This window comes from Homo sapiens, chromosome 11, assembly GCF_000001405.40.
Source record: "Homo sapiens chromosome 11, GRCh38.p14 Primary Assembly".
NCBI classification, from domain to species: domain Eukaryota; kingdom Metazoa; phylum Chordata; class Mammalia; order Primates; family Hominidae; genus Homo; species Homo sapiens.
This window is the reverse complement of record NC_000011.10, coordinates 45,929,229-45,956,241: the sequence shown is the minus strand read 5'-3', so window position 1 is coordinate 45,956,241 and position 27,013 is coordinate 45,929,229. Positions and strand designations below refer to the sequence as shown.

General features: G+C 44.4%; 1 protein-coding gene across 55 annotated transcripts in view, besides 4 other annotated features; it reads left to right on the top strand.

Annotated features, from left to right (window-relative positions):
- Positions 1-26,923, top strand: part of PHF21A (PHD finger protein 21A) — a 192,136-nt gene extending 165,213 nt beyond the window's left edge. For 27 of the 55 annotated variants that reach the window (XM_047427091.1, XM_047427085.1, NM_001101802.3 and 24 more), the window contains 9 exons: positions 2,617-2,715; positions 5,985-6,036; positions 6,761-6,840; positions 7,296-7,356; positions 10,239-10,402; positions 17,930-18,085; positions 19,673-19,748; positions 20,503-20,606; positions 22,017-26,923. In XM_047427091.1, the coding sequence (XP_047283047.1) occupies positions 2,617-2,715; positions 5,985-6,036; positions 6,761-6,840; positions 7,296-7,356; positions 10,239-10,402; positions 17,930-18,085; positions 19,673-19,748; positions 20,503-20,606; positions 22,017-22,274 (1,050 nt within the window). In that variant the 3' untranslated portion in view covers positions 22,275-26,923. Of the gene's footprint in view, positions 1-2,616; positions 2,716-5,984; positions 6,037-6,760; positions 6,841-7,295; positions 7,357-10,143; positions 10,403-17,929; positions 18,086-19,672; positions 19,749-20,502; positions 20,607-20,995; positions 21,122-22,016 lie in introns of those variants that run through there. The other 28 variants (NM_001352030.3, NM_001352031.3, NM_016621.5 and 25 more) reach the window with 6 other exon arrangements.
- Positions 1,900-2,065: a silencer, noted in NCBI's record as "fragment chr11:45975728-45975893 (GRCh37/hg19 assembly coordinates)". NCBI's record gives its function as "represses an EF-1alpha promoter that drives an FKBP-Casp9 reporter gene in an ReSE screen in HepG2 liver carcinoma cells {active_cell/tissue: HepG2}" and the evidence as "EXISTENCE:reporter gene assay evidence [ECO:0000049][PMID:32094911]".
- Positions 20,509-21,507: an enhancer, noted in NCBI's record as "H3K4me1 hESC enhancer chr11:45956286-45957284 (GRCh37/hg19 assembly coordinates)". NCBI's record gives its function as "activates a minimal SCP1, AML or CMV promoter by ChIP-STARR-seq in primed H9 embryonic stem cells {active_cell/tissue: H9 hESC(primed)}" and the evidence as "EXISTENCE:reporter gene assay evidence [ECO:0000049][PMID:30033119]".
- Positions 25,655-25,744: an enhancer, noted in NCBI's record as "active region_4674". NCBI's record gives its function as "activates an Ori minimal core promoter by ATAC-STARR-seq in GM12878 lymphoblastoid cells {active_cell/tissue: GM12878}" and the evidence as "EXISTENCE:reporter gene assay evidence [ECO:0000049][PMID:35858748]".
- Positions 26,095-26,284: an enhancer, noted in NCBI's record as "active region_4673". NCBI's record gives its function as "activates an Ori minimal core promoter by ATAC-STARR-seq in GM12878 lymphoblastoid cells {active_cell/tissue: GM12878}" and the evidence as "EXISTENCE:reporter gene assay evidence [ECO:0000049][PMID:35858748]".
- Positions 26,924-27,013: the final 90 nt, after the last annotated feature.

The window sequence follows — 27,013 nt, the reverse complement described above, 5'->3', positions numbered from 1 at the left end:
GGAGTTCTTGTTTCTTTATATGGCATTGAGTTACTGTCTAGTGTCCTTTCATTTCAGCCTGAAGGGACTCCCTTTAACATATCTTTTAGAACTGGTATACTAGCAGTGAATGTCCTCTGGTTTTGTTTATCTGGGAATGTCTTAATTTCTCCATTTTTGAAGAATAGTTTTGCAGGATATAGAATTCTTGGTTGATAGGGGTTTTTTTGCTCAGCACTTTAAATATATTAACCCATTTCCTTCTGGTCTGCAACTTAGTTCTGGCTGATAGTCCTTCACAAGTTTACAGTCAAACTAGTTGGCTAGAGCTGCAGTAATTTTAAGGCTGTGCTACAGCTTAATAATCCACATCTGAGCTCATCACATGGTTGTTGGCAGACCTCACTTCTTCACTGGCTGTTGGCTGGAGGTTCCGTTCCTCACACCTGGGCCTCTCCATAGTGCTGCTCACAACGTGGCAGCTGGCTTCCCCCAGAGCAAGAGATCCACGAAGGAAAGACACCCTCCACCACCACCAATGTTTTGATTGTTTTATTTGTATTTTTGTTTTTGGATCCTTTTGGTATTATTTATATAACACTGAGATAATTGTACTTTTTCTTGCATGAGAGAGAGAAATTTGAACCATGGGTAATTTTTTAGTGGAAAGGAATTGATTTGCCCTTCCTTAAAAGCACTGCTGCTAATTGCTTTACTCAGCCTTAGAAATGGAAGTAAGAGACTCCAAGAGACTTCACACAGCCTTGGAATGGAACAGCACACCCTTATAGTTGACCTTCTTTTCTCCCTCCTCCATCATACTTCTCTCCTTCCTATTCAAAGAGACATGAAAATAAGATTTCTGGGCATCCAGGACTTTAAAATGTCACTGTAAACTACTTTCCCACTGGTGTTTTGTTTTATGGAGGAAATGTGTCCTTTTTGATTAAAAAGTGTGTGTGTGTGTGTGTGTGTGTGTTGGAGAGAGAAAGACTTGAGTGATTCTCGCTTAGATCATACTCTTCACCCAGAAGCCCAATCAACTCTTTACTATACACCCGCTCTGCATGAAGTACCATAATAGGCACAAAGGGATGCAAAAACAAGAGGTGCATAAAACAATTCCCACTCTTACATAGCGTTTAGTATAAAGGGGGAAATACGAGAGAACACCAGTGGGGGAAAATTACAAAGCCGCATTTGTGCCCCAGAGCACTGGTTGCCACAGTATTGATAAGGCAGATGCTTACGCTTTCTTTATGTAATCATATAAAAGCAGAAGGAAAATATGGAAGTGGCCAGGAAAGAAAATCAAAGATCTATGTGCTTGTGTTTTTCAGATCTAGTAAAATATTTCCAGCATAATGATTTTTGAGAGCTTTAGATGTCTTGTTTGTAGGACCAAAGTCTCATGTAGCCCCTGCCCATCAATAATCAGTTTTATTCTCACTTATTTAATTATTGTTGCCATATGAAAGGAGCATTACTTCCACATTTTTTCTAATTTTGAAAAAGTAAATTAGGTTTGTGTTTATAGTTTGATATTTTCTGTTTTAAAATTATTTCAGTATTTACGGAGAGCTTCATAAAATGAGTTAGACATTGGTCATGGTAAGAATAGGAATGCAAGCCCAGTCTACCAGTATGCTAGCTACCTTTTGTGTTTGAAGATGGTAATCAACTGGTGTTTCTTCTGCTTGAGAAGAGGCTTCTGGAAGAAGAGGCTTGGAAAAATTAGGAAGTCAGCCTCTTGCAAGATGGCCCACTCTTAGCAATTGCATCTCTCCTCTGATGGATTATATAGACAGATTTTTAATATTCCATGTAAGGGTGGTTCTGCAGTCTCTCTGAGATTATGACTGGAATTGTTCCGAAATAGGAGACTGTGTATGTGAGATGTTTTTAACATCATTCTGATCTTAAGCAGGTTGTGAGCTGGAGCTTGACCTATAATATAAAAACAGTGGGCTGGGCATGGTGGCTCACGCCTGTAATCCCAGCACTTTGGGAGGCTGAGGTGGGTGGATCACCTGAGGTCGGGAGTTCAAGACCAGCCTGACCAACATGGTGAAACCCCGTCTCTACTACTAATACAAAAATTAGCTGGGTGTGGTAGCGGGTGCCTGTAATCCCAGGTACTAGGGAGGCTGAGGCAGGAGAATTGCTTGAACCCAGGAGGCAGAGGTTGCAGTGAACTGAGATCATGCCATTGCACTCCAGCCTGGGCAACGAGAGCAAAACTCCATCTCAAAACAACAACAACAACAAAAAATAGCAGGCTTGCTTCTGGGCAACTATCCCCACATTCTAAAATACGTGGAAATCAGAAAGGACAACCTGTACCGTATTTCTATACTTAGGAATTAAACCATACTTTTCTTTTCATATACCTTATTTAGACTCGTATTTATAGATTCATATTTACTCTAGCCATGCAATTTAATAACTTCAACTGGGGCTTTACATTTTAGTTTCCCCTCCCCCAATGAAATCTATAATACTAACCTTTTTATTAATATGTTCCACATTTGAATATGTTGTCTTCTTTCTTCTTGACTACTACTATTAAACTTCTGATTGCTTCATCCTTTTAATAAAAAACGAATTCTGAATTTTTATTTAATTTTTCTCTCCTAGACAGTTAAATCTCACACAGAAACAGATGAGAAACAAACAGAGAGCCGCACCATCACCCCACCTGCTGCACCCAAACCAAAACGGGAGGAGAACCCTCAGGTAGGCCTATGTTTCCAAAGGCAGGTCTCAGTCTATGGTGTATGGTTTATTCTCATGTACCAGGAGGGGCACCTGCTCTCTGAATGATGAAATGAACTCGATGTTCATTTTCTTATGCACTTTTATTATTCAGCAATGTTATTGCCAAGTCAGATTGGTCTAGAGTGGAATTCTTAGACTGTAGTCTTGAGGGTCCATGCACTAGTACATAGGCATTTTGATTGTATCAAAGGAAAAGTTTTTTAAAATGTTATTCTTCATATGCATGTTACAAATTTGAAATGTTAAGATGAGCGATGATTTTCCCAGCTGTCCCATTACATTCCTAATCATTACTGTGTTCTGTTTGTCTCAGCCAACATTTATAAGATATCTAGTTCACTCAGCTAATGTGTATTTATATTATCAATTGCAGTTGTTAAGTGTGCGTTTTTGTTACAACCATTGTATTACATTAGAACCCCAAACCCCAAATGAATCAGTAGCTCAGAAGTAATCCATTGAAGCATAAAAGTAGGGATGAAAATAGTAACATCTATACTATAATTTAGGATAGAATTATAAACATAAATAGCAAAGAAGACCCTGATAAAAATGTAGAATGTGAATCTGTATGTCCTTAGACAAGCAAATTTTTTCAGTTTGATGTTTTTGCATAAGCAGCTATAAATGGAAAATGTAGACAGGTAATATGATGATGAATATCTGACAGATTTCATTTGGCCAGTAATTCTCTTGCCCCTATCCTTAGTGCTTTCTTCATAATGAAACCATGTGAAATAGTGGCATAAAGCCATCAAAGCTTCATGCCATTTTTTTAAAGCAGTGATTTATTGAGCCAGTTCAGGTTTCCTAAAACAAGTACGAAATGTAATTCTTTCTGATATGAAATGAATGAATTTTTAATTTTATCTTGAAAAAGAGGACCAAAACTTAAGCCAAAAAGAAGTACTAGTCACAAAAATTGCTGAGGAACTTGTGAAATCATCCACAGAATTAATGACAAGTATTATGCTCTGAGAAGGAAAAATTGAGCAAAATTTCCCTATCAAAGGAAACTGAAGGATCCAGCCTGGGCAAACATAGTGAGACCTTGTTTCTGCAAAAAATAAACAAAATTAGCCAGGTGTGGCAGCACATGTCTGTAGTCCCAGCTACCCAGGAGGCTGAGGTGGGAGGATCACTTGAGCCCGGGAGGTCTAGGCTGCAGCGAGCTGAGATGGTGCCACTGCACTCCAGCCTAGGTGATGGAGCTAGACCCAGTGTGGGCAAGCAAGTACCATCATGTGTAGTAGCATATAGTTCACCTTCTAGTTGGACAGAATCACTGCCATAAACAAAGTAAATTGCTCTTGGCATATGTGGGATACATATATGAGGTAAAAGTTTTTGACAGCTTTTTATTCTATCATCAAAAATTTAGGCTGGGCGCGGTGGCTCACGCCTGTAATCCCACCACTTTGGGAGGCTGAGGCGGGCGGACCACCTGAGGTCAGGAGTTTGAGACCAGCCCGGCCAATGGTGAAACTCTGTCTCTACTAAAAATACAAAAATTAGCTGGATGCAGTGGCGCGTGCCTATAGTCCCAGGTACTCGGGAGGCTGAGGCTGGAGAATAGCTTGAACCCAGGAGGCAGAGGTTGCAGTGAGCCGAGATTGTGCCACTGTATTGCAGCCTGGGTGACAGAGTGAGACTCCGCCTCAAAAAAAAAAAAAAAAATTTATTCCACAAGAGAGGACATTTTTTTTCACTTAATTATTTTATGAGCTTGATCTAAACTGGCAAAGATGATTTGGGTGTGAGTGGCCAATAAGGGTGCTGTTACTTGCTTAAAAGAGGGTGCATCTGAATATCAGTCCACACACTGCTTCATCAAAAGAACAACAGTTAGGGGAAAGCCTCTTGATCTTGATTATATTTCTAAGGAATAGTGAAAATTAGGAATGTAGTTAGTTGGCAACCACAAAGTGTATGTCATTTCAACATACAGTTTAGAAAGCAGGAAAGTCCAAGACTGCTTTTTCTTACCAGACTAATCTGGCTGTCAAGGGGATAGGTGCCCATCTCAGTTTTTGAAATAAGAAATAATATAAAAACATTTCTTCAGGACTCTGAAGTTACCAGTAAATGACATTTCTATGTTCTCAAGTGGCTTGCTGAAGAAGTTTATTTTCAAATAGGCTGAACCTATCACTTCAGGCCAAAGTAGGATAATATCGAGGATAAGATGTCAGGACTTTTAAAGATCAAATTGTGGTATAAATAACTCTACAGGAGTATGTCTTTTACAATTGAAGATGTTCTTTATTCATCAGAGAAATAAATTGATAATGTATTATTTGGCATATTTAGAAACTGCATGCAGTAGTACAACAGAAAATGAAGACACACTTTTCAGACCACATGCAAGCAAAGAAAAGAATAGAAATCAATTTGTTTCCCTCTCTGGCTTGAAGAGTCTTAACGTTCCATCTTCAGGGCCCAGTATTTTGACCAGCTTAGTTTCTGATGGAGCCCTAAGAGTGGTCTTCAGAGAGAAATTGCTCCATAATTTTTAGGTTCATGTGTGATTGAAAAATCATAGTATTCAGCAGAAACACCTGCTGTCATTCCTGAAAATCATTTAGCTGTGAGTTAGCATTGTGGCAGTATAAATGTGAGAAACTGACCTAGTCGTGACAAGTGAAACACTCAGGATTTGGAGCTTGTTAAATGGGAGGCTCTTTAAAACTCTCTGCATGTTTTGTGAGTATGAAATCCTCTTCTTTTTAAGAGGATTTTTCTGTGGGGCGGGTCACTCGGATCACACAAGATACTGATTTCTGTCATTGAGAAAGAAGATGTAGACCCCAGTCCTTCTCTTTTGGCCCTGTTAGACCAGAGAGCCTCTAGAGCAAACTTTCTAACCTGTGGCCCAGGATGGCTTTGAATGCGGCCCCACACAAATTCGTAAACTTCCTTAAAACATCATGAGTTTTTTTTGCGATTTTTTTTTTTTGAAGCTCATCAGCTATCATTAGTGTTAGTGTATTTTATGTGTGGCTCGAGACAATTCTTCTTCTTCCAATGTGGCCCACATTGAAGGAAGCCAAGAGCTTGGACACCCCTGCTGTAGAGGATCTCCATGGCTGCTTAGAGAATGCCTGCTCTTGTGCATTCATGAGACCCGCCCATTGGGCTGGCTTTCCCTAATGTCCTACTAGGAACTGGCAATTGGCTTTGTGAGAACCCAGACTGAAGCATATTCTTCTTTTGTTTCTCTGGCACAGAAACTTGCCTTCATGGTGTCTCTAGGGTTGGTAACACATGACCATCTAGAAGGTAAGAGAAGATATTCTTGGCACTGCCTTTTTTTCTGGCCCACAGCTTTGTTCCTGAAAATGATGTTTGATTGAATTCCTGGAATAGAAAATTGGAACACAAATAGAGTATGATTCAGCCAATGTGGACTTTATTTCCTTTAGTGGGAAAATTGCCTTCCCTCTGTCTAATGTTCCTATCATTATCCACACTACTGTCCTGGGAAAACCTCCCCAGTTGCCTAAATTCAGGTGACTTCTGTTCATTTAGGGGAGCTCTTCTTTTTCTGAACAGCACAGCGAAGTGCTCTTCTGATAAGCCTTTATATTTTCTGGTCACTCCAGGTTATCAGAATGTTGACAACAGTTACAAAGCTATACCTGTCCTGATTATTTAATTCAAGAATGATGAACTTTGGTTACTCAGTTTAAGTCTTATGGATAAAGCTCATCCAGACCTATATATACAGCAGTCTAAAAATCAGGACAACTTGTTTACAAGTGTTGTCTATTGTTAAACTCTCAACAGAGAACCACGTGTAGGACAGCGTGGTCTTGCAGGTGAGAGTAGATGGTCCTACATATTTGCTTCCAGTAGTGTGCTTGCCTCTGCTGAGGCTTCAGTGAAACAGAGACTTGTCCCTGATTCTGATTTCTTATGGGAAAACCAATAGATAAAACAATGAAGTTAAGTTTTTTAGGTTCTCCATGCCTCTCTGCTAATGAAAACCTTTTCTTCTCTCAAGAAATCCAAAGCAAGAGGCAAGAGCGAAAAAGAAGAACAACAGCAAATCCGGTCTACAGTGGAGCAGTCTTTGAGCCAGAGGTATTACTGGCCAGCATCTGGCCCTTCCCTCATGTTCCAGTTTTATTTATGAGCTGTTCAGTGCCTCCCCTCTGAAAACCTGCTGAAGAGCAGCACCCTGATTGTACTTGGCCAGTTCTGTGAAGTGGTAGATTTTTTTTGACTTATCATTTTTATTAGTCACTGCTTACCCCTTAGGTTTTTTTCCTAAGTTTCAGCAGATACATGCCTACCTTAAAATTTTAATTCACCCTGACTTCAATACAGCTGTCATCGGCAACAGAGGCAGGCTTCTCTGAGAGAGTCTCTGAGAGCCAAGTACATACAATAAAACCCTTGAGCATTGAGACCTTAGGATGATTAGCACTAACTAGTCGGCATGTTGACAGTCATGCCATGCTTGGTCTTTAGCTTGTGCCAGTATTAGTAATAACCACACTACTCAACAGTCACCTTTCCTCCTTCAACCCTCAAAGCGTAAGAAGAGTGCAGTGACATACCTAAACAGCACAATGCACCCTGGGACCCGGAAGAGAGGTGAGGACCTTTTTGTATCTCTCCCTTGCTGCTGTTGCTTTTGCTTTGTGTGTGTGTTTCTTCTCCTTCCCTCCTCCCATCATTATAGGACCTAACTCCTCTATCCTTTGAAAATAGTTTTGTTGTTGTTCTCTGAGAATGGGAGAGAAAAGAGAATGAGATTTCTTATTAGAGTTCTGTATGCTGAATCAAAAGCTGACTTTACTAGGATTCTGGCAAAGCTGACTCAGGGGAATGGCTTAATGTAGCATTTCTGCCCCAAGCCTGCCAGGCCATCCATGAATAGCACAGTGAACAGAACCCCATGTAAAAGGAAGCATTTGAGAGTCATTAAGCAGAACAGAGCACTGCCATTGCCAAGGTGTTCCTAATAGCGTCTTGGTTGTCCTGCTGCCGGCAAGGCCAGAGTGTGACGCTGAGTTTCTTGGAGCTGCAGACTTTCCAGGAAGGAAAGAGGTAGCCACACTTGAGAACTTAGAATCTTTGAGAAGAGGGCATCTCCAACTAAGGAAGAAAAGGTCACTCTCAAAACAGGCTCCCTAAAGAACAGATTCCTAAAGAGCTCCAATCCCATATTTCAGACCTTCCCATGGACATTCCAGAATCTTACTCTTAGGCAGAGCAGAAAAAATAGCAGTAGCAGCAGCAGTGTCTCTCACCATGCAAGTCTAAATAGGTCTTAACAGCTCAGGGTTTGAGCTCATAAACAAGGTACTGAAATTTTTCTTTGATGTCAGTAATACATCCCAAGATCCTTTTCTCCACATGGTAATGTGTCCCTGAATTATAGTTGCAGGCTAGAAAGGTTGCAGAGTGAGCGGAGTAGCATACTAATTTTTGCATGTGCACACACAGTCTCAGAGCTACTGGAAGCTCAGGAGGTCATCCTGACCCTTTGTCTGCCTTAGGCAGGACTACACTATTACCATTCCCTCTCCACAAAAGAGATATACCCACCCTTAGTAACCCATTCTAATGTTTCATCAGTCCTGTCCTTCAAGTACTCAAAAATATTTAGATGGGAAACCCTAAGTCATGGCTTTATATTGATTCCTGGGCCACAGTAACCAGTACTCTAAGTTATTTTTGTTTTGTTTTGTTTTGTTTTGTGCTTGGTGATTTTTTTAGTGACCCCTGATGCAGTTCTCGGAAAGGAGCCCCCCAGCCAGAAGCCACAATAATTGGCCTGATAGTGGGCAGTATCTGCTAAGAGGACAGGGGTTAAATGAGCCAGAAAGACCTTGGCATCTCTTGCTAAGGTCAGAGGATAAAAGCTTGCATCCACAGTGCCTAGGATATGCCTTTTGTGGGTAAACAAGAGAGCATTCATCTTGTTCTTCCCCTTCCAGCAGCACTGAACTCCCTAGAAAAGATAAACCAGTACGATCTGTCTTTGTACTATAGGCATCACCAATTTAATACAGAGAGGTAATATTTTTGTAACATCTGACAGAATCATGACTCTTGTGCATAATCCTAATATAAATGATAACTGTTGGCAAAGTCATGATCCTACATACCATTTACCAGTGCTTATAGGCAGTTTTGTATCTCTCTGGCCCTTTTTTTTCCTTTGGTGTGTTGGGCATATACTTTTGATCACTCATAGCTTAGAAGCAATGACCTTGCCCCTAGAAGACAAGGGCCCTGACTTAGATATGTGGTAAGGCAAGAGTGGCTGACCTAGACTTTCTGTACCCACAGGGCTCATTCAAGTTCCTTTGTAGCCTTGAAGTTTGAGTCAAAATGCTCTTACACAAATCAGGTCTCTCAGTTAGGAGTGCTGATGGGAGGGCCTTTCCTGAGACTTTTAAACAGCCCCAATTTTTAGAGATGTAGTTTATCAGGATGTTTGTCATGTAAAGTGGGGGAGACAGCTGCCAGTCAACTGGGGAGGGTATCCAGGGACAGAAATACTTAAACATTAATTGCTAAGCCCAGAGCATCTTTTAAGCTCTTAGGTTTCAGCTACTCCCAGAACATGCCTCTCAATAGCTCTAAAAGCAAGGGATAAGAATAGTTAACTTGAATTTTGCCTCCTTGCTTTGCCGGTCTCCACCCTCATAAAATGCAGACAGAATAGAGAAGGAAAAGCAGAAATCCTAAATAAATCAGTTTGTGGGAACTGAGAATCATTAAAGTATTGTGAGAATGCTGATTGCAGAGAAACCTTAGAGAACAGTATGCAAGATATGAAAAAATAATAAATTCGGCCAGGTGCGGTGGCTCACACCTGTAATCCCAGCACTTTGGGAGGCCAAGATGGGCGGATCATGAGGTCAGGAGATCGAGACCATCCTGGCTAACACGATGAAACCCCGTCCCTGCTAAAAATACAAAAAATTAGCTGGGCACACGCCTGTTGTCCCAGCTACGTGGGAGGCTGAGGCAGGAGAATGGCTTGAACCCGGGAGGCGGAGGTTGCAGTGAGCCGAGATCGTGCCACAGCACTCCAGCCTGGGTGACAGAGCGAGATTCCGTCTCAAAAAATAAATAAATAAAATAAACTCATTCCTGGCCCTGGCTCCCACTGGGCTTTGACATCTTGGTTCTTGCACTAGAAATCTCAAATTGCAATAGTCCAGGAACTTCACCACAATCTGCCCAAGGTGAGGTCTTTCTACATAAGCCAGCACCTTCTGTCATTCTCCAGAGCTCTCTTATCCTCCCTTCTCTTGAGAGTCATATAGTTGTTTCTAATGACATTTAAATCTTTGCTTCTCTTCCTTCCTTTGGGACTGTTGAATTAACCTTCTGTCTGCTACCTCACTTCCTTTTCCATGCTAGCCAATGAGGAACACTGGCCAAAGGTATGTAAGATCATTTTCCCCCTCTCTTTCCCTCCCCGTTTTTCCCTTTTGTTCCCTTCTCTTGGTATATAGGTCGTCCTCCAAAATACAATGCAGTGCTGGGGTTTGGAGCCCTTACCCCAACATCCCCCCAATCCAGTCATCCTGACTCCCCTGAAAATGAAAAGACAGAGACCACATTCACTTTCCCTGCACCTGTTCAGCCTGTGTCCCTGCCCAGCCCCACCTCCACAGACGTAAGTAACTTGGGAAAAGCACACTGTCTTTCTGAGAGCTTAAATTGGGAAAAGCGTTATCATATGTTGTCTCCTTATCGACTTGCACCTTCTTGACTAACCCTGGAACAGCAATTAAACACTATAGAATGCTTTTTATGCCATGTAAGGCAGCTTTCTTCTGAGTTTCCAGGCCTTCCATGTCCTTGAGAAACATGTTAAATATAACCTCATGGAACTCAGCCAGCCTTCAGAGTCTGAATTTGATCTACTGTGAATGAGTTCTCAGAAAACAGATGGGGTGGGGAGATCAGCTCATACAGTTGAGAGGTGTGCAGGTTTCTATCATCAGTGTTTTGGGAGTGGGGAAAATGAACAAGACATACAGTCCCCCAGCAGCCCTTGTTTGCTGCTTCAAATACAATTCCAAAAGTGGAAAGTTTTCTTTAGAGCAACTGTTGATCAGAAACTGTTGAGCAGAAACTCTGCTCTTTAGAGCAGAGTTGATCAGAAACAGGTTCCGGAAAAACTGTCAAATACTTAGTAGCCCTTCACCCACAAACTGCAGGAATGTGAACTAGTGCTCTAAATGTTTAAATGAACCTCAACAAAGCTCAGAATTCACTCAGCAGATACTCACTGAGCGCTACTCTGCTGAGCAAGTGCTATTCTTGAGGCTGGGGATACAGCAGGGAACAAAACCAACTCCCTGTCCTCAAGGAGCTCATCTAAAGAGGCAGATAATAAGAAAGTGAATATATAATGTCAGGTAATGATAAGTGCTATGAAGAAAAATGGGGCCGGGCATGGTGGCTTATGCCTGTAATCCCAACACTTTGGGAGGCCGAGGCAGGCAGATCATCTGAAGTCAGGAGTTCAAGACCAGCCTGGCCAACATGGCGAAACCTGGTCTCTACAAAAACACAAAAATTAGCCGGGCATGGCGTGCTCCTGTAATCCCAGTTACTCTGGAGGCTGAGGCAGGAGAATCCCTGGAACCCAGGAGGCGGAGGTTGCAGTGAGCAGAGATTGTGCCACTGCACTCCAGCCTGGGTGACAAGAGTGAGACTCCATCTCTAAAAAGAGATCAAAAATGGAATGGATTTAAGGGCATATAGCATACTGGCAGGAGGCTGATGTTTATGAAGAGTGGTGAAGCCTCGGGAGGATCTGGGGGAAGAGCCTGCCAGGCAGAGGGAACAGCAGTGCAAAGCCCTGAGGTGGGAGTGTACATGGCATCCTGAAAGAAAAGCAAGAGGGCCAGGATAGCGGGGGCAGAGCAAGCTGGCCAGGGTGGTGGGAAATGAGGCCTCAGAAGTGGCTGGGCCAGTTGCGCAGGGCTTTGTGGCTTTCGTTCTCAGTAAAATGGGAGACCATTACAGGGTTTTGGGCAGAGGAGTGACATAATTTTTCGGTATTTATTTTGAAAATTTTCAAACCTACAGAAAAGTTACAATAATGGTACAAAGAACCAATGTATATCCTTCACATTGATTCATCAGTTGTTAACATTTTGCCTATGCTTCTCACCTACCATACACACTTATTTTAGGGGAACAAGGTAACAAGAAGTTGCAGACTTCATGAATCTTCACCCTAAAATATTTTGCTATATATCTCATAAGAGCAAAGATACTGTCTTATGTAGGTACAATGCATTTATCAAATTGAGGAAATTTAACACTAATAAAATATTACTATATAAAATATACAGTCCATATTCAGATTGCTCCATTTGTCCCTTACTTACTTTTGTGACACTTTGTTTTTCCTGCTTCAGGGTCCAATTCAAGATTACTCTTGACATTTATTGTCATGATATTGTCTGTTTGGTAATCCTTTATTTTGGAAGAGTTTCTCAGTCTTTGTCTTTCATAACATTGACGTTTTTAAAAAGATAGCCAGTTCTTCTGTAGAATGCCTCTCCGTTTGGATTGTCTGATTTTTTTTCTCAGCAGTAGATTCAGGGTATGCATTTTTGCAGGAGCACTAATAAGTGACGATGGGTCATTATCAGGGCATCACAGCAGGGGGCACGTGTTGTCAGTCTCTTCTGTTGTTGGTGATGTTAACTTTCATCTCCTAAGATAGTTTCTATCAGATTTTTCCACCTGTAAATGTGCCTTTTTCCTGTGGTGGAGATAGCTTTGAGTCTGTATGAATATCCAGTTTCCCAACAAACTGTTATCTAATGATAGCATCCTTTAATGATTCTTGCTTGCATTTATTATTTTTAAGATGTATGCAAAATCAACTTGGATTTTAAAAAGGATCACTGTGTCTAAAATATGCAGAAGAAAAGGGCCTATAGGGAAAATAGGATGGAAGCAGGAAGACCAGTTAGGAGGCTTTTGCAGTTGTCCAGGCAAGAGATGATGATGGGCAGGCACGGTGGCTCACGCCTGTAAATCCCAACACTTTGGGAGGCTGAGGTGGGTGGATTGCTTGAGCCCAGGAGTTCAAGACCAGCCTGGACAACATGGCAAGACCCCTGTCTCTACAAAACATTAAAAAATTAGCCAGGTGTGATGGCAATATAGTGAAACCCCGTCTCTACTAAATATACAAAAATTAGCCGGGCATACTGGTGTGCCCCTTTAGTCACAGCTGCTTGCAAGGCTGAGGTGGGAGGATCACTTGAGCATGGGAGGCTGAGGCTGCAGTGAGCCATGATTGCGCCACTGCACTCCGGCCTGGGTGACAGAACAAGACCCTGTCTCAAAAAAAAAAAAAAAAAAAGGAAAGAAAGATGATGATGATGATAGCTTGGAAGAAGCAGAGATGGAGAAAAGTGATCACGTCTGCATATATTTTGAAGAGCCATCAGGATTGAATATAGGTTATGAGAAAAAGAATGGTCAAGGAGAAAACCAAAGTTTTTGGCCTAACTGACTAGAAAGATGAAGCTTCCATTTACTAAAGATTAAGAGAGGAGCAGATCTGAGGAGGGAAATAAAGAGTTTCATTTCACACATGTTCCAGTTATTTGGTGAATTACAGAGCTTGTCATTGACCATCCTAAGATAAAATGTCCCTTGAACTTGAAGGTTCTCAGAACCTACTAGTGGCACACCCCTCTCCAAGGAGCAGCAGAATACCATATGAATATTCTGAGTTAAAATTCCAGAGGTAACAAAGAAAGTGTTACCTTTGGAGGACTAGGGTCATAGAAGAATTCTGTTCTCTTGACAGGTTTCCTTGTTTCCTTCCTTAGACGTCGCTGGTGGTTACAGATTCATCATTCTCTAAAGATTCAGCATTTTGTCTCGCTTTCCTGACTTTTGGCATTAATAATTGACACAGGTTTCCTAACTGTCCTGTTAATGAGCAGCAGGGTCTCTCTCAGAAATCTTGTTTGCTAGCGCCAAAGATTGTCCCAACTTTTTCTCAGTTGAAGTATTGCCAAAGGATCACCAGCTCATTGGCCTCTTGGTAGAGCTCTCCCTCTAGGGTGGTACACAAATGCTAGGGGACAGTTGATTTTGTGGTTCTGCATGTGAGTCTCTCTCCTAAACAGTGTTGTTTTTGTTGTATTTTTTGGGTCAATTGGGATTATGGTTTTCTTTGAAAGATTGAACCCAAAGGATCCACTCATCAACTCACAAACTAAGAGCTTCTGCCAGGTTTTTTTAAAAATTGAAACATTCTTTTTCTTTTCAGAAATCTACAGGTAAAAGAAAGCTTTTCTAAAGAACTCCCTAAGTTAAACTCAGCAGAAGGTATTTTTAAGATAATTGACTTCTCCTTTTACAGTATCCCAGTAGTGGCAGTGATTAAAATCAACACACAGGTCTCTGTATGTTTGCTGCTGGGTAGCATAAGTTCCAACAACATTAATTAAACAATAACACTTGAGAGGCAGGCATTTCTAGGGATCAATAACCATTTTGAGGGACTTGGTATAATACAAAACCTACCAGACACTAATCCTCTGGATGTACCGTGTTGCCACTATCATCATTTTTATGAGAAGGGAAGATACGTTAACATAATTATAAAAATTGTTTAGCACATGATGAAATTGCAGTTGGTATTGCCAGAGTGCTTCCTAAAAACATACGTCCTCAGCGCCTAGCAAAGCATCATGGGCCAGCTGTTTTTCAACTTACCTACCGTCTGGTTTATAGTAATAATTTGGTCAGTCATCAAAGCCTAAGCATTTTGACCTGGTATGGTGCCTCCGTAGGACTTCCTCTGCTCTTTTTAGGCAAAGAGCCGGTTCTGTATGGGTAAAATGTTTTGGCATTTTATATTCATTTCTATGGGCAGCAGTTCTCAAAGTGTAGTCTGGGAGTCCCCGAGACTCTTTCAGGGAGTCATAAAATCAAAGCTATTTTCATAATGATACTAAACCATCATTTGCCATTTTCATTCTCATTCTCTCAAGACCGAACAGTGGGGTTTACCAGATATTGCATGATGTGTGATGATGTCACTCTGGCAGCTAATGGAATGTGTACCTCTGTGTTTTGGAGTTTAAAAATGTTTTAATATGCTTTGTTTGTAATTTTTCATGGTTCTGTAATTCAGAATTGAAAGTTTTTACCAGCCTGGGTAATAAAGGGAGACCCCCATCTCTACAAAAAATAAAAAAATTAGCCGGGCATGGTGGTACGCACTTGTAGTCCCAGCTACTTGGGAGGCTGAGGTGGGAGGATTACCTGAGCCTGGGAGGTCGAGGCTGCAGTAAGCCAAGATCACAGCACTGCACTCCAGCCTGGGTGACAGAGCCAGACCCGGTCTCAAAAAAAATTGTTTTTTAACTGCTATTAACAGTAAATATTAATAGATATAACTCATATAAAAGCTCTCTGGGATCCTCAGTAACTTTAAGAGTGAAAAGGGATCTTAACACCAAAAATTATAGGGTATATACACCAGATAGGAAGTTTCCTTTGGGAACTTAAATAAATTATTTAATTTTTATTTTCTGTCTTTCTGCCTTCTGTTTCTTGATGTGCTCCTTGCTCAGGAGCAAAGGAAAGTGAACGCCTCTTCGTTTATCCCAAGTCCGTCTGAATAAGATGCCCAGTTTGTCTCATTCACTCCATCACTGATAATTTTTTCTGTAGTTCACATAAAACAGTCTCTAAAATCACACATTTTAAATAAACTTTCTAAAGACGCAGACTCACCACTTAGGGATAAGGTTCAAGAAAGGCTGACCCTCTAGAGGAAAAGAGTAGCCCTCAGCCTGATTTTAATAATGAAGGAAGAAAATCATAGTTAATCTAGGGATGAAACCTTACCTCTTTTGGTGCCTAGAAGTTAAACTATTAGGCTACATTCACATGTAATATTTTAGAACATATGTTATCTTTTTTACTGTCCAGTGGTCACATTTTCCTACTAAGAAACATTAAAATCTGCCAGGCGCAGTGGCTCACACCTGTAATCCCAGCACTTTGGGAGGCCGAGGTGGGCAGATCATGAGGTCAGGAGTTCGAGACCAGCCTGACCAACATGGTGAAACCCTGTTTCTACTAAAAATATAAAAGTTAGTCAGGCGTGGTGGTGGGCGCCTGTAATCCCAGCTACTCAGGAGTCTGAGGCAGGAGAATCGCTTGAATCCAGGAGGCAGAGGTTGCAGTGAGCCGAGATCGCGCCACTGCCCTCCAGCCTGGGCAACAGAGCAAGAGACTCCGTCTAAAAAAAAAAAAAAGAAAAAGATTAAAATCCATCCACACTATGATGTATCTTAAAACTTGTGTAGCCTTTTTTCTGGGCTGCCAGATACCCTAGTGGATTACAGAGCAGGTTTCCCTTGGAGTGAAATTGTAGGTCCATGACGATGTGTTCCTTCACTAGTGGTGGTGGAGGGATTACATCATAGAAAGGAAGGATTCACATTCCTCTCTATTATTGCTTCTTGTGCACAATTTCTGTATTAGACCTTCTGGCAGAATAGCCAGGAAATCCACAGCAGCACATTGGCTTGACTTGCTGGGTCACCTCTAGCACTTCCCTTCAGTCTTCCCTTCCCTGGTGTTCTTATCAGTGGATTTAATCCCATCCAGAGAATGAGCTAGGCATTGACTCTCTGGAAAAGACCTCTTTAATAGCTCTTTTTTTTTTTTTTTTTTTTTTTTGGGCTATGTTCTCCTCTTCCAATTTTAAGTAGATCTGCTTTATTCTGATGGTGCCTTCTGTTCAGAGGCTCCAGCAGACTTACCTGAGTCCTAACACTATCACTGTGATGGGGGTGGTAGAGAGACAGGACCAGCAGAACAGACTGGGGCTGCTCGTCTTTTTCCAGCTGGTGAAGTTTTTATAGGGATAAAGCCTCCCAGAATAGAATGGCCCATTGAACAGCAAACACAAAATACTGGTTTTAGGAGAACATTGTCAGCTGTTGCTTTGGCTTTTTAAATTCTTCATTTTAGAAAGAACTCGCATATGAATTTAATTTGTTTCTGACTTAATATTTTCCCATTTGAACTTTCACTGTATTTTTTTCTTCTTGAGCAAGCAAATTCAGGAAAACTCCAATATTTGTCTGTCTTCTTTCCCAGTCCTTCTAAACTCCCCCTAGAATTGATAGGTGATGAGAATTGTTTGTATCATATTGTGAAACACTTTGATGAATGGATTTCCGTACCTGTAAGATTTATGATATGTAGGTTGTCCTCTACCAAAACATAATAAAACTCTTAGGTATCGCCTATAATGTTAATTTTGGCCTTGGCGACTATAGACCTCTCCTGTAAACTTTAAGAATACAGTAGTCCCGGCCGGGTGCAGTGGCTCACGCCTGTAATCCCAGCACTTTGGGAGGCTGAGGCAGGCAGATAGCCAGGTCAGGAGATCGAGACCATCCTGGCTAACACGTGAAACCCCGTCTCTACTAAAAATACAAAAAATTAGTCGGGGGTGGTGGCAGGTGCCTGTGGTCCCAGCTACTCTGGAGGCTGAGGCAGGAGAATGGCGTGAACCTGGGAGGCGGAGCTTGCAGTGAGCTGAGATCGCGCCACTGCACTCCAGCCTGGGTGACAGAGCGAGACTCTGTCTCAAAAAAAAAAAAAAGAATACACTAGTCTCCCCCTTATCTGAAGTTTCACTTCTTATTGTTTCAGTTACGCATAGTCAACTGCAGTCTGAAAATATTAAGATGTTTTGAGAAAGAAAAAAGAAGATAGACCTCATTCCCATCTTTTATTACAGTATATCGTTATAATTGTTCTGTTTTCTTAGTCACTGTTGTTAATCTCTTATTGTGCCTAATTTATAAATTAAACTTTATTGTGGGTCTGTGTGTATAGAAAAACATATTTATAGGGTTCAGTACGGAGGTTTCAGGCATCCACTAGGGGTCTTGGAACATATTCCCCAAGGATAAGGGGGGACTATTGTACTGTCCCCACCCAGGGAGCCTTAGCTATGTGGAGTGAGTAGGGGCATGTGCTATTGGTGATTCCTGCTTCTCTTGAGTACTCCTGGAACGAGGCAGCTGATTGTCCTAAAACATTTATATGCATCTAGAATGTGCATGTTAACATTAAAATTTTACCTTTTTTGTCCTTTTTCTTACCTTTCCTCTCAACTTTATAGGGTGATATTCATGAGGATTTTTGCAGCGTTTGCAGAAAAAGTGGCCAGTTACTGATGTGCGACACATGTTCCCGTGTATATCATTTGGACTGCTTAGACCCCCCTCTGAAAACAATTCCCAAGGGCATGTGGATCTGTCCCAGATGTCAGGACCAGGTACTGTGGGTGGGTCCAACAGGGGAGGGGCCGAGGAGGACAAAGACACGGCCATCAGGAGGAATTCCTTTCCCGGGGAAATGGCAGTCTCTTCTCTCTCCCAGTCCGTCTCCGGGCTGCATCTTCCCTGTTTATGACACAGCACGCAGGCGCATGGCCTTCATTCCCTCAGAAGCCCTCTGCCATATTACTGAGCTGGATAGATGCTTCCTTGTATTTGAAATGACTTGTCTTCTCTTTAAAAGTCAAGACCCTTTAAAGTCCAGTGTGCCTCATTCTCTAGGAATGGTCCAGACCAAGTATATGGTTTTAAAACTCTTCTTTGGGAATGAAATTAAGGGAAATTGCCCAGTTGATTAATTAAAATAACACCCTGGGCCAGGCGTGGTGACTCAGGCCTGTAATCTCAGCACTTTGGGAGGCCAAGGCGGGCAGGTCACCTAAGGTCAGGAGTTCGAGACCAGCCTGGCCAACATGGCGAAACCCCATCTCTACTAAAAATATAAAAATTAGCCGGGCATGGTGGCAGGCGCCTGTAATCCCAGCTACTTGGGAAGCTGAGGCAGGAGAATCGCTTGAACCCAGGAGGTGGAGGCTGCAGTGAGCGGAGGTCACACCACTGCACTCCAGCCTGGGTGACAAGAGCGAGACTCTGTCTCAAAAAAATAATACTAATAATAAAACAACACCCATTTCACTTTTAACCTATTTTGTTATATCAGGCTCAGAGAACTAAGTGTAAAGTGCTGTCGATATTTTATAGACTTAAAAGGCAAACATATTAGTAACTGTCCTAGCCTCCCTCGTTCTCTCTTTGGTTTCTGGTCGCCTTTTCTCAACTATGCATGTATATTTATGTCTTTATGATTTTATTATAAGCTGTCTCAAGTCTTTTTTAGAGGTAGGCAAAGTATAAATAATAAATAAGCAAGCCCAATAGCTCAGCAAGTACTGGGATTCTGCTCAGTTCTTTGGAATCCTGCTTTGAACAAATTCTGGTTTTCCCTTGTAATATTGTCCTCATCCTGCAGCCTGTGGTGCAGCGGAACACTTCTCTCAGTGTCCTCCTCCTGATGCTGCTTTGTGACCTTCTGACGATTTTTGACATAGGGTCTAGATTATACTTTAGTATTTGGAACTAATATTTAATTTTCTTGGTCAGGCTGTCTTTGAGGGACATCGAAATCTAAAATTGAGACAGGCAGCCCATGTCAGGTCAAGGACGAAACTGCCAGTGGCTGCTGCCATCATGCTGATGTGCAGCTTTTGTGTTGGTGGTTCTAGCTGTCGGGAGTGGTTGGGTGTCATGTGGCGTGTGTGAAAAGATAGGAATGCTCAGCCAAGTCCCAGCTCCTTCTAAGCCTGGGCTCAAGTGTCCTGGCTCTTCCTGCCTTGAACTTGATTCTCCTAAGCTGATATTTGGAACTTTTTAGTCCAGAAACTATAGACCAGGGTTTTGCAACACTGCTACCATAAATCCTTCCTGGATTTTATCTGCCAGTAGCCACAGATACCACTGCTAGCTGTTACATAGAGGATGTGTGTTTAAACCTCCTTCTCAAGGTAAAATTCTAAAAATCTTTTCAGATGCTGAAGAAGGAAGAAGCAATTCCATGGCCTGGAACTTTAGCAATTGTTCATTCCTATATTGCCTACAAAGCAGGTAAGGAGTTATCCATACCCACTTTTTTGTAAGCTTCCCCTTGTTTGAAAAAAATACTGGCAGTATTTGTTTTATTCTCAAAAGGGAATTTAAATTTAAAAATGAAAACCTTTTGCCCTTAACTATTGGAGGAAACAAAGCAAATGAAAACTTTTTATTGGATAAAGTGGAAAACTTCTGTAGCATTTATTATTATTATTATTCATTTATTTTTTGAGACAAGGTCTCACTGTATCAACCCAGGCTCGGGTGTTGTGGCATGATCACAGCCCACTGCAGCTTCCTCCTCCTGGGCCCAGTCGATCCTCCTACCTCAGCCTCCCAAATAGCTGAGACTATAGGTGTGTACTACCATGACCAGTTAACTTTAGTATTTTTTGGTGGAGACAGGTTTCGCCATGTCACCCAGGCTGGTCTCAAACTCCTGGGCTCAAGTGATTCACCTGCCTTGGCCTCCCAAAGTCCTAGGAGTACAGGCATGAGCCATCATGCCTGGACTGTAGCACTTCTTGGGGGAAGAAAATGAGATGTGGTATCTCATTTATGTAAAGCCAGACCCAAGCCACTGACAGTTTTAGCATACTGTACACAGAAAAAGGAAAAGTCCAGGTGGGCAGATTCTCTGCACTGGGTTGTAGGACTCATGGGAGCTCTGGGGAAAATACCTTCTTTGGCAGGCATTCTGAGCACAGAGGACATTTCAAAGAATTAATTGTCAAAAACCGTTCCTTTTTTTTTTTTTTTTTTTTTTTAGCAAAAGAAGAAGAGAAACAGAAGTTACTTAAATGGAGTTCAGATTTAAAACAAGAACGAGAACAACTAGAGCAAAAGGTGAAACAGCTCAGCAATTCCATAAGTGTAAGTAAACCTCATGCCTTCAGCAGTCGATACATAGGTGCAGAGACCTAGGCCTTTCCAATATACGTAACAGTACGTGTGGGCCCCAGGCTGTTTCGGGTCCTTCTGTTTATTAACGTGATTAACTTGGGCAAATGCAGTTTGCCATCCAGTTAGAGTTCAGACCTCAGGTACAGGCGGCCAGTTGGTAGGTGGTGCCTTACCCAAGCTCTGTAACATCCTCTTGGCTTTAATCAGAGAGAGGATTTTCAGTCTTCAGGCTGAATAAGTAACAGCTACAACAGTGTAGCCATGGCCCTGCGTATTCCTGACAGTGTGTGGGGGGAGTGTAGCGCCTCACCTGACACTGAGCAGACACAGACCAGGTCCCCTCGTGTGATTCTTCCTAGTCACCTGAGCGAGTGGGCCCATCCGTACGGCCCTCCCTCGCTCTTTCTTCCACACCATGCTGATTGCATTTCCCGGTTTTCCTGACCAGTGTGAGGAAGCGGGCTTTCTAGAGACAAGTATTGGAAGTAAGTACTGCCCAGCCCGGCCTGTCCAAGTGGGAAAGAGGGTTGTATTTGCAGCAGGGGGACAGAGGCTTCTCCCAGGCAAGGAGCCAGTCTTCTTTTCCATTGAGTAGGTCACCCTTGTTGGAGTGAAGTGACCTCAGCCCTCATGGATACCAGGTGGTGCCTTGTACTTGGTGGCAGTTGAACTGTCCTGCTTACCTGCTTTCTCCTCCTCACCATACCTACCCATGGCATGCAGATTTAACACCTCTTTCCTCTCTTTCCCTGCCTAAAATAGAAGCCAGCAGGTGTGGGAAGCTGAGGGCAAAAGGGCAAAAGACTCTAAGTCCCCGGCTGAGCAGAAGGTGTACTGGCTGCAGGCCTTTGTCCTTGGGGCTTCGATCCTCCTAAATGCTGCTGGCCTGTCGTCTCACTTCCTGCTGCCCTCAGATGGAATCCAGATAGCACTGTGTGTTTTCCACCCTGGAGAGCTCAGTCCAGTCCTGAAGGCTCCCCAGTTAGCATGACAGAAGCATATCAAAACCTGCCTAAACAGGCTGCAGGACAGCTGTGGGAACTTTTTTTTTTTTTTTAAACAACCTTTGTTTGGAAGTCTGATGGCGGCTCTGCCGGTTTGTTTTTAAGCGTTAGTACTCCTGTGTGTTGGTGCCCGCATGCTCTTTCTCCCTCTGTTGCCTCTGGGACCTGGGACCCCCCAGCCTACCCACTCCACCCGCCCTGTTCCTTAGGTGGTAGCCGCCCACTCCACTGAGGAACACAGCAAGGCCCAGGGGCTGCACAGCAGCCAGCAGAGCTTCTTCTCCCTGGGCAGAGAGAAGGCGCTCTGCTCTTAGGGGCTGCCAGGCCTGTTAGAAACCAGGCGGCTCAGTGCCACTGCCCTTGTCATTTGCTGCAGAAATGCATGGAAATGAAGAACACCATCCTGGCCCGGCAGAAGGAGATGCACAGCTCCCTGGAGAAGGTAAAACAGCTGATTCGCCTCATCCACGGCATCGACCTCTCCAAACCTGTAGACTCTGAGGCCACTGTGGGGGCCATCTCCAATGGCCCGGACTGCACCCCCCCTGCCAATGCCGCCACCTCCACGCCGGCCCCTTCCCCCTCCTCCCAGAGCTGCACAGCGAACTGTAACCAGGGGGAAGAGACTAAATAACAGAGCCCCTCTAGGAGAAGCCACGGGATCCCGGCGGCAAGGAGAACAGAACACTGAAGACTCTAGAAAAGCAAAGCCGGATTTCTGGAAAGTGCAGAATTCTTTTGGTTCTTTGGTTCCAGAGAGAGAGAAGATGCTTGTGCCAGGTGGCACCAGAGTTTGCCAATTGATCCTTCTTATTCTGTGTGTACATGCAAAGATTGGACCATGTTACATGAAATAGTGCCAGCTGGAGGTTCTTTGCCAGCACCATGCCAAGTGAAATAATATATTTACTCTCTCTATTATACACCAGTGTGTGCCTGCAGCAGCCTCCACAGCCACGATGGGTTTGTTTCTGTTTTCTTGGGTGGGGAGCAGGGACGGGCGGAGGGAGGAGAGCAGGTTTCAGATCCTTACTTGCCGAGCCGTTTGTTTAGGTAGAGAAGACAAGTCCAAAGAGTGTGTGGGCTTTCCTGTTTCTAAACTTTCGCTACTATAAAACCAAAAAAAGGAATTGAGATTTCACCAACCCCAGTGCCCAGAAGAGGGAAGGGGAGTGGCTGGAGGGAGCAGGGGGTGGGACAGTGTATCAAATAAGCAGTATTTAATCACCTCTGGCGGGGGCCTCGTGCAAGGGGAGACTGACACCAAGAACAGCCAGTAGGTTCTTCTCCCCTGCACTCTGCTCCCTGCGCGGTAACCCCACCACTCCTGAAGCCTGCCCAGTCTCCTTCCTTCCCTGCTTGGTGAGTCGCGCATCTCCGTGGTTATCCCGCTGTCTCCTCTCCAAGAACAAGCAGAGCCCGGGCCACTGGCCCTTGCCCAAGGCAGGGAAGAAGGATGTGTGTGTCCAGGAAGGAAAAAAAGGTGGATCAGTGATTTTACTTGAAAACAAGCTCCATCCCTTTTCTATATTTATAAGAAGAGAAGATCTTGAGTGAAGCAGCACGCGACCCAGGTGTGTGTGAATTGAATGGAGACGTTTCTTTTCTCTTTCTTTAATTTTTGTTTTTGTTCTTTTTTTCTTTAAGGAAAGTTTTATTTTACTGTTCATTTTACTTTCTTGGTAACAAAAACTAAAATAAGGAATAGAAAAGCTGTTTTTCAGGCTGACAGTCCAATTAAGGGTAGCCAAGACCTTGCATGGTAGAGTAGGAATCATAGTGTCAGTGAGGTCCCGTGAGTCTTTGTGAGTCCTTGTGTCATCGTTCGGGCACTGTTTTTTTATGCAAGGGCAAAAATCTTTGTATCTGGGGAAAAAAAACTTTTTTTTAAATTAAAAAGGAAAATAAAAGATATTGAGGTCTTCCTAGTGTTACTTAAATTAAGATCAAGGTAAGAAACATTGTAAAAAAAAATTACAAAAGTGCTATTTGTTTCCTAAAAACAGTGATTTCTATTAAAAAGGTGTCAGAACTGGAGAAAATGCCGTGTAGTTATAATTTTTTAGCACAGACCCTGCTGATCACGATGACATTTTGCCGTGTGTGTGTCTCTAGACTGGTGGGCCAGTCTCCTTGAAGGACAGAGGCGGAGCTCCCCACCCTTCTCTCTCCTCAGAAAAGACCGTGCTCTCTTCTTGGTGCAGGGATCTTGTCTCCTGTTGTGAAGCCCAAATGGAAGCGTGGATGGTATCAGGGCCCTACCCGTGGTCTTCTCAGATTCTGCTAGAGCAAAAGGCTGGTGCCTAAATAAGATCCCTTCCTTTGGTGCTGCTTTTGGTCTTTCAGCCACCAGCATTATGAGTGCCTGGGGGACACCTCCGAGGGAACTGGCCAGCGGAGCTCTGTGGTGCGCACGCACCCTGGCCGTGACAGGAGGGTGCGGGAGTACAGGCTGGCTGCATCAGCCCTTGGTGCTTAGAACAGAGGAGGAGTGACATGTTTTGAGGGTACGTCTCTGAGACAGAGCCCCAGCGTGGCCTTCGCTCTGTCTTGCCTTTGGGGAGAGGTCTGAAGCTCCCACTCCTTTCTCTGCCTGTTGGCTCCAGGCACCAGAAATTTACTCCACTCCACCCACCCACAAGCCTCCTGGGTGACCCTGGGCTAGAATTGCTGCGCTTGCCTCGGCTTGGCCGGTTGTGGCCTCTCCTTGAGAAAACCAGGGTTGTGAAAGACTCAGACCATTCTCTCATCTTGCCTTGTCAGAAGTAAATTGTGTCAGATTTGTGCTCTCGCTGGAGACCTTTGCCCCTTGCGTGCCCCTGGCCGATGGGAGGGCGGTGGAGGCTCTGTACCCTGGCCCTGCTGGAGCATCTCCCCCAAGCCCACTCCAGGCCCTGGGAATGGCCAGAGTCTAGGAGAGGTAGAAACGATCCTATCAGCTTCTCTCCCACCCAATTAGGCCCAGAGAGACAAAGACAGATCTGAAAGCAAATGCAACAGAGAAGAGACACTTCTTAGAGTAAAATGTGTCTCATCTCTATCAGCCATCGCCTTTCATCTTCCCAGGGGCCTCAGAAGAAGGAATTAAGTTAGGCTGAACAGGCCTCAGAGTTAGGCCCTGGCTGCTTGATTGGCTGAGGGGGAAAGAGTTCCCTTTTCTCATTCAGAAACCAAGGTGCTGTGTCTAGTCAGGGAGCCTTGGAGATGCCTGGACTAGTTGGAGGAATCGTTGGCAGAGGATCAGAGACCAGCAGCAGGCTGTCTGCCCTGTCTAGAGCTCTTCCCCTCAACTTGTCTGGGCCCATCTGGGGGTTGCCACACAACACCTAACTTACCTTTTCCTGAAAGAAGTTGGGAAACCATCATCACTAGAGGCCTTTGCTCAGAGAGGAGCTGCCTTAGGAGTCTTGGGTCGGAGGACGGGGCTAGGAATTGACCAGGGCTTTGCCTGCCGCCCTCAGCAGTGTCGGGTACATTCTGACCTCGCCTGCAGCTGGGCTGTGGATTCTTCCTGACATTCAGATGTGAGCTGTTTTGGGAGTCAGCTAGTATGGAGTACGAGATGCAACCCAGCCCCCAAACCTACATTCTGCACTCAAATTCCAAAACACTGCTTTACTGTAAAGAAGAGGCCCCTGGCACCCAATCTCCCTGTCCTTCACTGTCCCCTCAGACCTGGGCGGGGAGGGGGGGGGGCCTGTGACCACCTGAGACATACGCTCGTGACACTGCCCCACCCCAGCCACCTCCACTTGCTTCCTCCTCCTTCCCTCCGCTGCTCTTTCCCCACGGCCCAGAATTTAGCTGCTCTGACAGCCACTTTTGAGACCAGCTGGCTTTGTAGTCACTTCAGAGAGCTGGAGCGGCTGCCCACTGGGCCCTGACTGGGAGTCCCCTGCCAGCTCCTGATCAGGCGCTGCGCCCTGGTGGCAGTGATGACTGGGAGTCCCCTGCCAGCTCCTGTCCAGGCGCTGCATCCTGGTAACAGTGAGGCCATGTTGCTGTCATCTCCACCTCTGCATTCTTGCTGCCTGTGGGTCCTTTTTCTTTCATGGAGCCTGCTGGGTCTTGTCTCACCTGTGCTGAGCTCCTCTGGGGTTTTGATTTCTTCCTTCCTTATCAGGCCCTTTGGGGTAAGCCTGCTGGTTGTACCTGACATAGGGAGGCAGTTAGGGGCAGTCCCTGGTGGGGCCGCCCTGGCAGCCTCCAGCTGGCACCATCGTGTGCCTGGTTTCCCTGCAACACCTGCCTCTCTGTCCCTGCTGCTGCTTGGCTCAGGCCCAACAGGCAGCGTGCATGGAGGTGGTTACACACAGCTGTTTCCGTGAGGGTGACCGTGTCTGCAGCACGCTTCCGTCTCCGCATGCACGGCTGCCTCTCCAGCCACCTCTGATACTTCTCTCTTGGGGCCATCAGAGCCTCCCTTGGGCTGTCACCTCCCAGCTCACACACACTCTTCAGTGGTTTCCTCTCTTCATTCTCTTATAGGGCGTGGTCCTTCTTATTTATCTAAAGGGCTGAATTTAGGAGACTTTTTACCCAGGGGCAAAAGGCTCTTAGGGTAATGAGATGGATGGTGGCCCAGGTGCATTTTCCAGGGCCTGGGTTCTCCAGATCCCGTGGCTTCTGTTGAGTGGAGGCAACTTTGCTCTGTGTGAACCTCGCCCCTGTCCCTCTGCCGGGCACCCCTGGCAGGAAGCAGGACTCCCATCCTCACCCTGACTTAGACTGTCCTCTGAGTCAGCTCCTCTCCAAGACAGGAGTGGGCAGCCCTGGGCAGTCTTCTGGCCCCTTGCTAAAGTGAGGGGCAGGAAGCTGGGGCTGCCCTCCAGAAAGCCGGGGTAGGAACTCTGAAAAATACCTCCTCTAAACGGAAGCAGGGCTCTCCAGTTCCACTTGGCGCCCCCTCCCACAAGGCCCTTCCTCCCTGAGGACCCCACCCCCCTACCCCTTCCCCAGCAGCCTTTGGACCCTCACCTCTCTCCGGTGTCCGTGGGTCCTCAGCCCAGGGTGAGCTGCAGTCAGGCGGGATGGGACGGGCAGGCCAGAGGTCAGCCAGCTCCTAGCAGAGAAGAGCCAGCCAGACCCCAACCCTGTCTCTTGTCCATGCCCTTTGTGATTTCAGTCTTGGTAGACTTGTATTTGGAGTTTTGTGCTTCAAAGTTTTTGTTTTTGTTTGTTTGGTTTTTGTTTTGAGGGGGTGGGGGGGGATACAGAGCAGCTGATCAATTTGTATTTATTTATTTTAACATTTTACTAAATAAAGCCAAATAAAGCCTCTCAGCCTCATGGTGTTGGGTTTGGGGCAGGGGAGGGTGGGCAGGACACATTCCAGTCCCAGCCTCTGCCCTCCCTGACTGGCTGTCTGGGGGT